The sequence below is a fragment of the Homo sapiens genome, chromosome 16 (assembly GCF_000001405.40).
Source record: "Homo sapiens chromosome 16, GRCh38.p14 Primary Assembly".
NCBI classification, from domain to species: Eukaryota; Metazoa; Chordata; class Mammalia; order Primates; family Hominidae; genus Homo; species Homo sapiens.
Genome location: NC_000016.10, coordinates 82,732,872 through 82,747,520, shown reverse-complemented (window position 1 = coordinate 82,747,520; position 14,649 = coordinate 82,732,872). Strand labels below are relative to the sequence as shown.

The 14,649-nt window shown below is 38.3% G+C and overlaps 1 protein-coding gene across 8 annotated transcripts in view, besides 1 other annotated feature; it reads right to left on the bottom strand.

Annotated features, from left to right (window-relative positions):
• CDH13 (cadherin 13) overlaps positions 1-14,649 on the bottom strand; it is a 1,173,672-nt gene that overhangs the window by 1,053,120 nt on the left and 105,903 nt on the right. The gene's annotated exons all lie outside the window — the stretch shown is intronic.
• Positions 11,079-13,517: an enhancer, noted in NCBI's record as "VISTA enhancer hs1959". NCBI's record gives its function as "enhancer in: heart[7/7]" and the evidence as "EXISTENCE:transgenic organism evidence [ECO:0001131][PMID:17130149]".

Below are 14,649 nucleotides of genomic sequence, written 5' to 3'. Positions count from 1 at the left end.
GGTAATGCAGATGCTGCTGGTCCAGGGACCATACTTTGAGAAGCACTGCACTAAAAAATAAATACACATCTGCCAATACGTGAAATAATCCAGACCTTTCATTTATACCTAAAAACTATATGAGAAGAAAGGAAAGCTACCTGAATAAACACACCTCAAACTTTAAAGTGCATACTTTAACTTTAAACACCTCAAACTTTAACGTGCATACTCCTGAGGGTCTTCTAATTGTAGATTCCAATTCCATAGGTTTTGGCTACAGATTATGAATTTCTAACCAGGTCCCAGGTATGCTGATTCTACTGATCTACGGACCACAGTTTTTTCTCCATCATAAAATAATTGACTTCTAAGGGCAGGGCAGTCATCATGGTACAACAACATTTCATTCTGATTAAACAGTCCCACTGGAAATAAAACTCATTGTATTGAGAAAGCATATTTTCTACTTGTTTGTATCAATCACATTGTCTTAGAAAATGCCTGAATAGAAGAGGACTAAGACAATCTAACAATTCAATTCAACAACACATTCTGAGTTTCTACTATTTGCACAGCAATTTTCACTGTCAGGAATATAAAAACGAAAGAAACAGGGCTGCTCTAATCACAACATCAGGTCCTTAACAATTGTTTTAATATTCCAGGGAGTTACATTATAAGTGATCGTTACAAAAAATCTCTATCACACCAAAACAAAGCAAATGATTCAGAGTATTTCCAACTATGGTACGACTCTTGCAACTTCTTTATAAGCTGAAATTTTTTTCAAGTAAAAATTTTAAGAAATCAGTTTGGGAATTTTTTCTAGGTCTTAGGAAAATGAAATTGTATATATATGTATGCTTAAGTAAACCACTTACTTGAGAAGAAAATAAGTGGATTAATTTCTTCTAGTATGCCTCTTGGTTTTTTAAATAAAAATGTACTTTATTCATAAATTAGTACAATTAGTTATGAAGGCATAAAGTCATATTTCTGCTAAAGTAATAACCCGATTTTTAAAAATGAAAAAAGTCTTAGATTAATTCTTCAGTTCTCATTTGTAGTGGCTGACCTGGAGAGAATATGAAATTCTGGAATCTATTTCCCTGCCAGTAATGGGGACACCTTCTACTTTCAATGATAAAAGCATCTCAGGTTTGCCTAGATTTTAAAGAAATGTCAAAGTACTATCATCTCTATTTGAGTATGACTTAGAAATTGTTTAAAATATGTATATATACATGCATCATACATACAGTGTGTTTATATATAAACACATATATATAAACAGTGTGTTTATATATAAACACATATATATAAACAGTGTGTTTATATATAAACACACACACACCATGCATATAATATATAGTATGTATATAGTATATAGTATGTTTGATGTGTGCTTATATGTATATAAAATGTATGTATATATAGAGAGAGAGAAATAGAAAGACATAGATAGATTCCCTCTTATGCTGGCAATTATGTTTTTAAAACGTTATGACTAATGATGAAGACAGTGTAATTAAACTTGTGAATGGATATATTTTGATGGTATTAAATATAACAATAGTTTTGAAAAGCAGTTGGCAATATATATCCATTAAGAACCACAAAAATATTAGTGACTTGGTAATCTTAGTTCTAAAAAATTATTTTCTGGAAGTAAAATAACAGAGGACCAAATTTGGTGTTTGCAGTGTCAAACTGGAGGGGACTAAAAGAACAAGCTAAATATTCAGTAATGTGGAAATAGTTACTTAAATTGTGGTTTATTAATTCAATGATGTGTATGTCACTATGAAAAATCCTATTTATGAAAAGAGACAATAACATAAGAAAAGGCTTATACCTAAGGGAGAAAAAGGTGACGATGACCTACGATGATGTATGATGGAACCACATACATATGGTACAGTAAGACTTTTTTTTGAGACAGAGTCTCGCTCTGTCACCCAGGCTGGAGTTCAGTGGCGTGATCTTGGCTCACTGCAACCTCCACCTCCCGTGTTCAAGTGATTCTCCTGCCTCAGCCTCCTGAGTAGCTGGGGTTACAGGCGCCCGCCACCATGCCCGGCTAATTTTTTGTATTTTTAGTAGAGACGGGGTTTCACCGTATTTTCTTTCTCAGCTTTCTGTAATGTTGTTACTGCTGACTTTATGGTACTCTATTAATGGAGAAAAATCATGTTTAAAATGTCAAAATCAGTCCTGAGTTACACGTTGTATCTTTAATAATGCATTCGGTTGGGAAAGGCTACTGAAGCTTGGATTTCTTCCTAAAACCCCATAAAGCAAAGCGGCTACCATTGGAATGGCATCGCCCCACGCACACAACTCCAAGTCAGCCTGAGTCTGAGGGGGTAACCAGATTCAACAGTATTCTTTTGTTTCCCAGAGCCTTTAAAGTGTCACAGATTAACTTGTAGACTCTGAAGTCAGAGATTCTGAGTTTTAATCTGAACTCTAACCTTTTGCTGATTTGTCACTAGATTGCATTTCTGCCAAAAAGTCACTTCTCAAAATTCACCGCTCTCCGTACTGGAAAAGAATTGACTCTGTCAATGCTACCTATGAGACATATGGCTATTTATGTGTGTTGTGAGAGGCAGCCCTGTATGGTGGCCACAGGCTCTGGGGATTAGAGTGATACAACTGGGTATCACTGCCAAGCTGCCATTTTACAGGCTCTGCACCTTGTACAAATGGCCGAGGCTATTTGTGCCTCAGTTTCCTCATATGTAGCACAAGAAACATAAATTCATCCAGCCCTCGAAATAGGTGGTGGAGCTTAAATGCGATCATGTGTATAGAAGTATTCACTGCAGTGCCTAGCATGTGCTAAGCACTCAAAAGTCACAGCTTAGCTGTGATTTTTATCCAGGAGTAGTAGGGAGGGGAGATCTTTGTTCTAACCCTGTTATAGCTCCTTCTTGGAGCTATAACACAGGATACACAGGAACTGAGGGGAAAGGGACCTGGTATTCTAGAAGCCAGCCCAGAGATTTATGCCTGGAAAAGAGAGAAGTAAGACGTATAGATACATTAACTGGACCAATTGGGTTCAGAAAATCCTCTCCTGGTTTTCAAAAAAATCCCTAGGAACCCGAGGAACAATCCCAAACTCAAGCTACTGCTACCCACAGATAGATGCATATTGTGGTTCATTATCTCTGAAGGGCAAGAAGTCCAACCTATGAAAAACGACTACAAAAGCGAGAAAAATAGAGGCCCAGGCAGATACCATTTTTCAGTGTTTATTCTAATTACTCATTTAACAATCACCCTCTTGCTTCGCTTTGGACTTTGTTATTCCAACCAGGTATTTGCTTCCTGGGTATATCCTGAAACATGCTGGCAGAGGCTGCCATCCTATCTCTGTCAACTGAACTAGGGGGTGGAAATGGGCCTGATCAAGTAAAGGGAGATGACTTAGATCCAGACTTCTTGGAGGCGAAGATTTCTTTAATCTCTCCATTAAGAAATAGCTGGAGAAAACTTTGTGCTTTAAAAATGGGATCCCTTATCCATCTTGTTCACTGTTTTCTCCAAAGTCTAAAAGAGCACCTGGTATATAGTAGGTGCCTAATACATGCCAGATGAACAAATCAATTAATCACTATAACAATTTCAAAATTTCCTGTAAAAAATCAAATTTAATTACATACACCTGAATAGCTTGAAATTTTTCTATGTCATATTTATAAAATAGAAAATATTTGTATTAAAAATACACTTATGGCAAGATTTTTAATGTAAAAGATGCAGAGAACTATCTCTGGACAGGAATGTGAGAAAACATTAACAGTGGGGGACAAGCAACACTTGACATGTTTTCCATATTCACACGCTTTATGCTGACCAAGGAAAAGAATGCTGAGTGTTGGGTCTGTATTTTAAATTGTGTACATGAAAGGTATGTCTATTCTCTGTCTAGGTGAAAAATATATTTTAATGTCTTTGCTGGAGCATTTGTTCCAACAGATTTCAAATTATGCCTTCAAAATATGTATTAGTAGATGGGTGCAGTGGCTAATGCCTGTAATCTCACCATTTTGGGAGGCTGAAGTGGGTGAGTGGATCGTTTGAGACTATCCTGGGCAATACGGTGAGACCCTGTCACTACAAAAAAATGCAAAAATTAGCCAGGTGCCGTGGTCTGCGCCTGTAGGCCCCACTACCTAAAAGGCTGAGGTGGGAGGATCGCCTAAGCCCGGGAAGTCTGAGGCTGCAGTGAGCTGAGAGAGTGCCACCGCGCTCCAGCCTGGGCAGCAGAGCGAGACCCTGTCTCAAAAACAAAAAACATATTAGCACTGGTCTACAATTATTAAAATGTTCACTGTTGTTCAAAACTGGTTTTGCCCAGAAGATAAAGACAAAAGTATTGTTCTACATTTTTAAAAATCATTTCCAAAATAAAAATTGTACTGAGAAATAAAAGGTGTTGTGGGCGCTACATACATGGGATTTATTATACTATTCTGTTCACATTGTACACATTTCAATATTTTATAATAAAAATTATTTCTCATGGTTATTCTCTTACATAATTTTTTTCTAAATATGTAATTAGTAATTTTATGCACTTAAAATTACATTAATGTCACTTATACTTTCCTTCAGCATGTGCTGGAATTAAACCAATCAATTTGTTTTTAATGGACTCATGGAGGGATTTTCAGTATATTTTTGAGATGTATAGGTTGCCACCAGCTTTACTCAGTACATGATGGATAGTTTCTATTTTAAAATATGGCATTTGTTGTGATATAATTTAAATTACTTTTCTGCTGGGAGCATGCGTTCTTCAGAGTTACAATTATGCAAAGGGAAATTATACATCATATTCCTACTTTATCTTCCTTTATAGTCCTCATTGCAGTTACTTTCACTCAGGTACAATTACATTAGAGAAAACAGAATTTCATATTTAAATTAAGAACAATTCTATTTAGAAAATTCATTTCAGTTCTTAGTTAATTACAAAAGAGAAATGGAACCCAATCTAAAGATAAACAAGTCAAGGCTCAAAAGTAGCAGAAACTCACATAAAGAGCTATACATAATCAATAACTTAGAGCTCACACAAGCCCAGTTAACAGTACAAGTTACTGTATCATAATTATATCTTTAAAATATTTTTAGATCTTTTCATTTACTATAAATGCTATGTATGTTCATTGTAGAAAATTTGGAAACTAGAGAAAGGCAAAAAGAAAAAAATAAAAATAAGATCATCCTGTGATTATTACATCCAAATGTAATCACTATTAATATTTTCCTGTATTTCTTTCAAATTCAGTTTTTGGCGTACATGGGATGTAACTAACAATAGCCCTTATATTTTACAAGATTCTCATTTCTTGTGCTCTTAATTTCTTATGTTGGAACATACATGGTAAACCTTTTCCCATTTTATTAACTGTGCCTCTAATAATGGCAGACGTTTTGGCCCAATGTTATATCTACACCATGATTTTATATAACCGGGCTGATATTGTAAGAAATTTAGAGTGTTTCAATTTTTTCCTACTATAAATGATGCTATAATCAGCAATCCTATGTAATTTTTTCACATCTTTATTTCCACTTGATAAATTATTTAAAATCAAATTTCTGGGTCAACACATATGAATATATTTAAGTACTTGAGAAAGAGAAATGATAAAAATCCCTGAAAGTTGTCAGTTAGACTCCAGTTGGCAATGCCAGATATCCATGTTTTTTTCAATACTATGTCTTGTCTTTCTAAAAACATAATTCCCTATTTGAAAAATAAAAATTGATCTATAATTTTTATTTGTTTATAGTGTCTTTAATTAATGGCGAGGTTGAACATAACTGTTTGTGCCATGGCTGTTTCTCCTTTTTATTTCTTAAATGCTTATTTTTAAAATCTCCTTCTTTTCAATCCAACCACCTTATTTGAAGCCTACCATGTTACAGGCATGGAGATGAATGCTAACGATAGAAAATGAATGAGGCATGGACCCCCATCTTCAAGGATTTCACAGGCTAGCAGCAAAAGGCGCATGAATGACTAATTCCAGTCTATTATTATAAGTGCTTTATAGCCATATGTATAAAATGCTTGTAAACCACAGATAAGGAAACAGAAAAGCCTGCAGGGGATTAGTGAAGGATGTGCAGACGTTGTAAAGTTTGAGCTGGGCTCTGACGAATAAACATCAATTCACCAGGCAGGTGGGAGAGAGAAAAGAGAGTGTCCCAGCAAAGGAAATAACATGTGGAAAGACAGACAAGTAAATTCACACAGAATGATGGAAGAGACAAACCACACACTGTGAAGGTTATTGTAAAGCTAGCCGAGGGTTTGAGCTATATCAATGGCAACAGGGATTCACTGATGGGCTTTTGAGCAGAGAATGAACAGGACAAGTTTTGGGTTGTGAAAGTGGAAGGAAAGGAAGATCTGTGGTCATTGTTGGGTTTGGGGGTGTGGGGAGAGTGAGAGTGAGAGAGTATGTATACTAGGTCAAGGTTAACTATAAAATACTTTTAGCTTGGGTTATTCAATGTAGAGTAATACACTTACTTTTAAAAATATAGGCATGAGAAGGAGGTAACCCCTTTTAAAGTTATTTCTTTTATATAAACCCTAAAACAAAGCAGCTGTGATCGAATGTATTATTTTTCCCAATTTTTCACTACTCCCCATATGGAGGCTTTTGCTATGAGGCTTTGAAGTTCTTCCAAACAGAATGTTCCCCCATTGATATTGGACTTGCTTTGCCCAGTGGGTGGAAGTGACTGAGCACCAGTTCCTACCTAGACTTCAAGAAGCATCATGTGTTTCTATATGCTAACCTGGAAACTTTCAGTCTCCATCAGGAAAAGAATGTTTCCGAAGGAGCACGCTGTCCTCAGAAGAATGAGACGTCCATGGAGCAGACCTGAATGAAACCCACAGTCTGGAGTCAAGCCCAGCTGAGCCCAGCCTAGATCAGCCAACCCCTCAGCCTATGGAGCAATGTGTAAGCCATGGAATTTTAGCATGGCTTGTTATGCAGCATTATTATAGGAACGGCTAACCGATACACTGGCATATTCCACCCCTATCTAGATACAGCCCATCTCTGTTTAAAGACACTTCTGAAGAAAGCGGGTTGGGCTAATACGCTGTACATTATCTGGAAAGTGGGATAATACAATTTGAAGTTTGTGATGATTAAATGTAGCCCAGTTTCACCAAATGGAGAACGTCATCTCATCAACTGGAAGTTGCTGATGAGTTTCCATCCAGAATTAAAGTACTCAAGTCTCTTACATAAGAAATCAATCAACTATTGATTCTGTTGGGATGGCATGCATTATAATAAAATGCTAAATAGACAGATATGAGCTCAGTCCATATTGTAAATAAGAATATTTACATCTTTGTTGCCTCCTTCTGGTCAGTCTTATGAGTAAGCTGTTGAGTGGCACGGAGGTTTTAAAATCAGGTTGTAATAGGCGTCCACATTCTGCTCATTAAGATAAAGAAAGGTTTACCAGAGAAATGGTCTATTAGGTGGTATTTTGCTTTCACTTGCAAATTAAGGGATAATTAGTTTTGAATATCTGGAGATGTAGAATCTATGTGTTTGACATAATTTCATAGGTAGCCAACACCAAGAGTTCAAGTATCTTTGCAGGGCAAAGAAGGGTTATTTTGAAGTTAAAAGAGATTACACAATATTGCATTCTGAATATATACTATTCAGGTAAATATTACAGGTGGCATATATTTATCTCACCATTCAGAACCAATAGTTTTTTTTAACTTGCTAATATTTGGAAAAAGTTGACAAAGTCTGAGTGTCATCGTATTTTCCTTTTTCTTTTGTAGAGACAAGGTGTTGTTTGAACAACAAGATTTAAACTATTTTAAATAATTAAAGGCAAATTCCCGTGTCTTCATTTAATTTGAAATAGCACTTCTTCCCTTAACACTTTTTAAAAATAAATAAACAGAATCCTCCTCATTGCTTAAACAGGGAGAGTAAGTAGGTTTAAATGATTCTTACCTTTGTAAACTGTTACTTGGTCTTCTCTCACTCTTAAAATTTACCAAGACAACTAAAGCATATTTCATGAGGAAAATTTCAACAAGTCTGAAGTGGAATAAGACTCAGGGACTAAGAAAGCTTCTAAATTTGAATTTAAATGGAAATTCTTGGTAGGAAACTTCTCTTCCCTCACATCTAGCCCCATCTTGGCAGAAGATGATTTCTTTATCTAAAAGTAGGTGGTCAGCTTGTCTAAATCACACATAAGGGCATATCATCTGAAAAGGATTTTTCCTCTGATTTATGTAATTACTAAAAAATATAATAGTAAAATCACATCTGGTTAAGCAATTAACAAGTTATCTTTATTGTAAAGAATAAAATGTTATGCAATTCTAACTAAAGAATGAATGATGAGTGACTATGAGATCTCAATCATAACCAGGGCACAGTTCCCAGGGGTGGGGAAGAGCAAGGATTCATTTCCGAAAGGAAGAATAAAAAACGTATCTTGCTCACTGCTTCTTTGAATATTTAACTCATTTCTGCATTAACTTTATCCACTAAAAGGTTCTGGAAAGTCTGTGATGTGTGAGGCACAGGGAACACAAAAGTTAGTAAGACAGCCACTGGCCACCAGGGGTTGTAGGTGCAGCAGAATAAATGGTAAGACATGTTCATGAATAACATTAGTCAAAGAAATAAGCGAAATGTGTGAGATAAAAGGAACCACCAAGGTTATATGAAATTTTAGGGCATAGAGAGTTAATGCCTACAGAAAGAGATGACATTTTCCCCCAAATGCACTAGAGAATGCACAGGATTTAAATAAGGAGAAAGAGAGAATTCTAGGAAAAGGAAATGGTAGATACTGGCATGAGGTCAGGAACCTGAAAGGTATCTTTCTATTTTAGTAGGTAGTGCTGTTTAGTTACAGCATGGAGAAAAGTGTAAAAGTGCATTAAGAAAAGGTAGCGGAGGGCTAACTACTAAGCTAAGGAATTTGGAAACTAGCTTGTGAGCCACTAAACGTTTTAGGGCAGAAAGGTGATGTGCTAAAAGCACAGATTTGAAAGGTGAATGGGTGAGAATGAGAGAGATTTCAGGTGAGGACTCCGGCAAGAGGCTTATTTTTGTTTGGGATGGGCTTTCCACATTTTCACATTCCTAGAGTTTGACAGGAACACAAATTAAAGTCCTCCGTGCACGGTAAAGCCAGGTAAGAAGCCAACTTCTGTTTTAGAATAACATATTGGCCATGCAGTTACGTTTATTTTTACAATGGAAGTGACTGATTTTTTTTATTGCTATTTCACTTTTCACCACAAAGCACCCATCATATTCTTGCAAGAAACTCTTTGAGAGCAGACTAACTCTTAGCCCATCTCAGAGGACAGACTGTCATGAAACCTAACGAATGTGTGACAAGTGGCTAGTTTAGCAAGATCAGTAAGCTCTAGAGGTCTGCTGTACAACACAGCGCCTGTAATTGACAGTACTGCATTGTGCACTTAAACATTTTATTAAGAGGGTAGATTGCATGGTGGGTGTTCTTACCACAAACAAATCAACAAACACTGGAGGGGCATAAGGAAACGTTTGGAGGTGAATGATATTGGAAGCCTTGATTATGAAGCTGATGGTTTCACCAGTGCTTGTATATATCCAAACTCATCACACTGTATACATTAAACCGGAGCAATTTTTTGTAGGTCAATTATACCTCAGTAAAGCTGTTTACAAAAAAGAAATGCAGTGAAAGAACCTAGAGTTTATAGAGGAAGAGGAAAAGGAGAAAAAAGTATGGGGAAGGTGTCCTCTATAGAACTAAGGGCAGGTTCTGCCAGGCCAAATCTCTGTGTCTGGGGTCATCAGTCAAAAATCAAACAGAGCAGAATTGAAAAGCTACCCTCAAATCCCCACCACACTATAAACCTTCTCTGCATTGAAATATGTTGCTTAAGTATGAAATGCAAGACCGTTGGGGCAGTGGTTGATATTGAGATCATTTTGAAACAAGTCATCAGACCACCCCTCTCTTCCACACTAAGGAGCACGTTTCAAGGATTATATTTCTTTTGTTCAGTGGGAGGTAAAACAGACGCTGTGGTATCACACAACGGTGGGTGAAATGGAAATAACATGGAAGGGCAAAGGAGAAAAATATAGTGATGGATGAGTTGACAGCACATGACCCCTGGGTCCATCTGAGAGCAGCAAAGAGAGAGACATGGGAGAGGGCTCCATCTTGACCCTCAGGTCTCCACCTGGATGACCAAGTGAATGGAAATAGCATTAAATAAAATTAGTCAGAATGAGTTTGACTCCTGATATGATGAGTTCACATGCCTTTGGGACATCCAGGTGCCCAGCACACAAATGAAATTGTTCTAGAGGGTTCAAGGCTTAAGATAAAGATTCAGGCATTATCTCCTAAATGAAACTATGACAAGATAACTTGAAACTAACACTGATGGAGAAGGCATAGAAAGTCAGAGAATATTTTTAAGAATCACTTAGGTGTTGGGAAGAGGAAAAGGAATGCAGAGAGGCAGAAAAGGAATATTCAGAGGGGAGGAAGAAACACGATTATGCTGCATCTGAGAAGTGAAAGGTGGAGGAACTGCCCAACTACAACACAATGAAAGGATTGAGGAAGACAACCAAGAGAGGCCATCTGACCAGGTGTGGGAACCCCATCAAGAGTCCTTCTCTTAAAGTGGTGGGAAAAGATAGCAGATCAAATTGCCCGAAGGAGTGAAAGGGTAAGAGAGTGAGTGTATCCTAAGAAGGTGGAGAGAGTGACTGTGTAGCCTGATTTTTCTAAAAATTTATTGGTGATAAACATCAGAAAAATTATCGTATTAACCATGGGAGACTTGAACAGATTTAAGCTAGCGGAGAGAGGAAAAAAATACCATCACAAAATGAACCTTAACAAGTATTTAGTGGGTTCCTAATATGTACCAGGCATTGGAATGGGATGCTGCCCCATGGCTCTTATGTCTGTGTGTGGCAGTGCTCTGTTTATTTTTACCATTAGCTCACCACAGCAAGAATTGCAACTTGTTCATCAATGCATCTGGGAAGGCTAGCATTGTGTCTGACATGTAACAGCCCCTGCAAACTTTTCTAGAATTAATGAGTGGCACCGTGTCAACCTTTAAGAAGTTCTGTTTTTTTCTTCCCTTAACAACTCCGCTTTGTCTTTGGGCCTTCCTTAACCTCCAGAGTTAAACATGTTTCAAGGATTATATAAATATATTTAGTTAGGCATCCACCCACCCAGGTGCCCATTACACCCTGGGTGTTCTTCCATCAAAGCAGTTTAAAGAGAGAAAAATCAACAAGTGGCTTCGAGATTTTGACCAGTCCCTAAGCAAAGGAGAAACATAGAAAGCAAAACCTCAGCGCAGCTTACTGACTAGTTTGGAAACTCAGGGGAATTAATTTCTTATGCACTTCAGGTTTTTCATGAATCGCTTTTATTGGTTCTCTTTTTACTCTTGCAGGTTTTCCCAGGGCTAGACTGACTAGCTTGGCTGAATTCAAATGAGCAGAGAAACCTCTAAATCAGCCTAGTGAGTATAGCGTCTGGTTTTTCTCGTGCTGTCAATCTCATGTAAATAGCCAAGCCATGCACATTGTAAGCAAAGCCCATTAGATTCTATTGGCTGGCTTGGCACCCAAGTTAAAAATGAAACTTGCTAAAGAGTCTACCCAGCAAATAGCTTTTCTTTGGCAGAACGCTGCTGTTCAACTTGGGAAGGAATGTGATAAAGTGCTTTACTGGATGGCAACATTGTGGTCTCGCTTTCCTCAGATCACAGTGGGATAATGAAGCTGGAATCCATTTAAACCTTCCATTTCACCCCACACAGCTCATAGACACTGTGTCAAACCACATCACACTGCAATAAATGTGCTAAAATCTATAAGCTTATTCATCTATTACACATAGTACTCTGTCAGATTGGAAACAAATTATGGAATACAATTTCTTGATTTGCCCACTCATGTAGCTTTAGCAGAATCTCAAATCCAAGGCGATACTCTAGTTCATGAAGTCGCATAAATAACTGTATTGTTTCATGCCAAGTTTAGCAACACAACATTCTTGCTATGAATAGCACAGTCACTGCAGGGACAGACCCAGCCATGTGACAAGGACTTATCTGCCCTGTCTGGTGTGACAGCTTCTATTCCTGTCACTGAAGCATTTGTGATTGGAACGTTTGTGATTAAATAGTGTTCCTTCTGTACACCCTGGAAAATGATGAGCACAGGTAAACCTAAGCTAAGCAAAGACTGTCATGGATGATAATCAATGGGTGGGGAGATTTAATAACATAGACTGAATCTTTGAAGCCTTTCCCCTTGGCTTGTTTCCTTTTACTTTGCTCCTTTAAGGTGATCTTAGGCCATGGAGAATATATGAAAGCTTTACCTTCAAAAGAGAGAGTCTGCCAACTCTTGGCCACCTCCTGGTTCAAGCCACCTTCATCTCTCAGTTAGATTTCCGGAGTAGCCTCCTAATTAGTCTTGCTTTAGCTGTTACTCCCTACATCCTCTATGTGCTGGACATTGTGATGTGCCCCCAAGATCCTACTTCAATGCAGGACCCATGGCACCAGCTGCTGGGAGTGCGGTCAGCAGGCAGCCCTCGGCTCTCAGCTTCTCAACAATCACCCAGGTGATGCTCCTTCCTTGTAACTGTTGTTGCCATTGAAAGACCTATATTCAATGACCGATCAACACTGGAGTATAAAGGCCTGTCTGTCTTGGGCCAAACAGGGTCAATTCTGAAGCTCCTAGAGAGTGGCCAAGGTTGCCATTGGTCTGTATCATAGCTGGACTTCTCCCTCTGCTCACTCCTGCTTCCTGCCCCTGCTTTCCATAGGTGTTGGCCCTGAATGCTAAACTCCATCTCAGAGTTGCTTCTTCAACCTAAGACAGTGGATGTATCACAAAGAGCGAGAGTCCTCCTGTTAACACTCTGCAGAATCCTCCCTCTCTCCCCTACAGTGGCCCCCACGTGCCCAGGCCCTGCCCTCCACTCACCCCTTTGCCCATTCTGTTGCAGGCGCACCTGCCTCCTCAAACACACTAGGCATATTCCCATCCTGAGACTCCTATGTGCTGCCTGTCCCCTCTCCCTGGAAAACTCTTCTTCTAGATGTAGGTGGACACATTTTTTTTTTCTATAAAAGGCCAAATAGTAAACATTTAAGTTTTTCTGGGCCACAGGATTGCAACTGCTTAACTCTGCCATTTGAACACAAAAACAGACACAGATAGTGCATAAACTAATGGGCCTGGCTGAGATCCAATGGAACTTTATTCATGAAAACAAGTAGTGGGCCAAAGTTGGCCCATTGGCCATGTTGCTGACCATGACCCCAGATGGTCCTGTGGTTCCTGCACCTCCTTCAGGTCTCAACTCAAACACTTTCTTCCTTCTGAAATCCCAGCTCCAATATTAGTTCTCTTCCCACCTTATTTTCTCCACAGCCCTCATTGCTATCTGGTATACTCTGTTTTCTCTACAGTTCTGTCATCCTCTCTTTTCCCTAAGAAGTAAGTGCCATCAAGGCAGGGATTTTGCTTGCTTTGTGTTCCTAAGCAAAGTCACTGGTTCATGATAGGTGCTATGTACTTATTTGCTGAATGCAAGAATAAGTGCATACATATTCAGGCAACTGGGTATTTTATCCAGTTTTTGTTTTGTGTTAAGTAGTGTGTTTCTTTTCTCTTCATATCTTAAGCAGTTCCTTTTGCCATTTATATCCTGGTAGAGTTTGGTGCTTAAAAGCATAAGCCTTACTAAAAGACCCCCTGGAGATTTAAACCCCAGCTCAGTCACCTGTTGGGTCTGTGACCTTGAGCATCTATAGAACCTCACTAAGCCTCAGTTTTCTCATTTGTAAGATGAAGATGGAATGTTGAATGTCTCATAGGATCAAGATGATGAAAAACACTCAGCACAGAACCAGTCACCTATCACTTAATGAGAGCTCTACACAGCCAAATCATGAACTCTTTCCCTTGGTTAGTATTCTTCCCAGAGAAGATAATGATCATGTTTACAAATTGGGTCATATGCCTTTAAACAAAAACTCACATATACACGCAATAGATCATTTGATTTTTTTTTACATAGCAAAAATAAATTATAATAAGAAAAACAGAACAATTAGAATGACTATTTATGGACAACTCACTCCGTGTCTGCTGCTGGGCTGATAACTTTACATGTTAGCCTCCACACAATCGACAATGCAATGGGGAGGACCAGTGAAATGATTTTCTGCATGTCCTCACTTGTCTGCATATGTAAAGCCAGCCAATGTGAGGACACATTGTTGAGATGCAAACATTGTTGAGGGCATCCAGTTGGATAGCAAACTTCTCTGCCTCATGCTTGAAGACTTTGTCACAATCGATAGGCACAATTACCCACACATTGCAGAGTATGCCTGTGGAATAAACCTGGTTACTACTGACATTTGCCTTATGTTGAGAAAGCAGAAAAACAAATGGAGATATCTCTTCTGCCTGACACAGCTTCAACTCCATTTGTCTTTCTGAGATCCTAAACTTAAATTTAAATTCCAGATAGGAATTCCCTCTAGTTTCCCCATCAGACTCTTCCTCT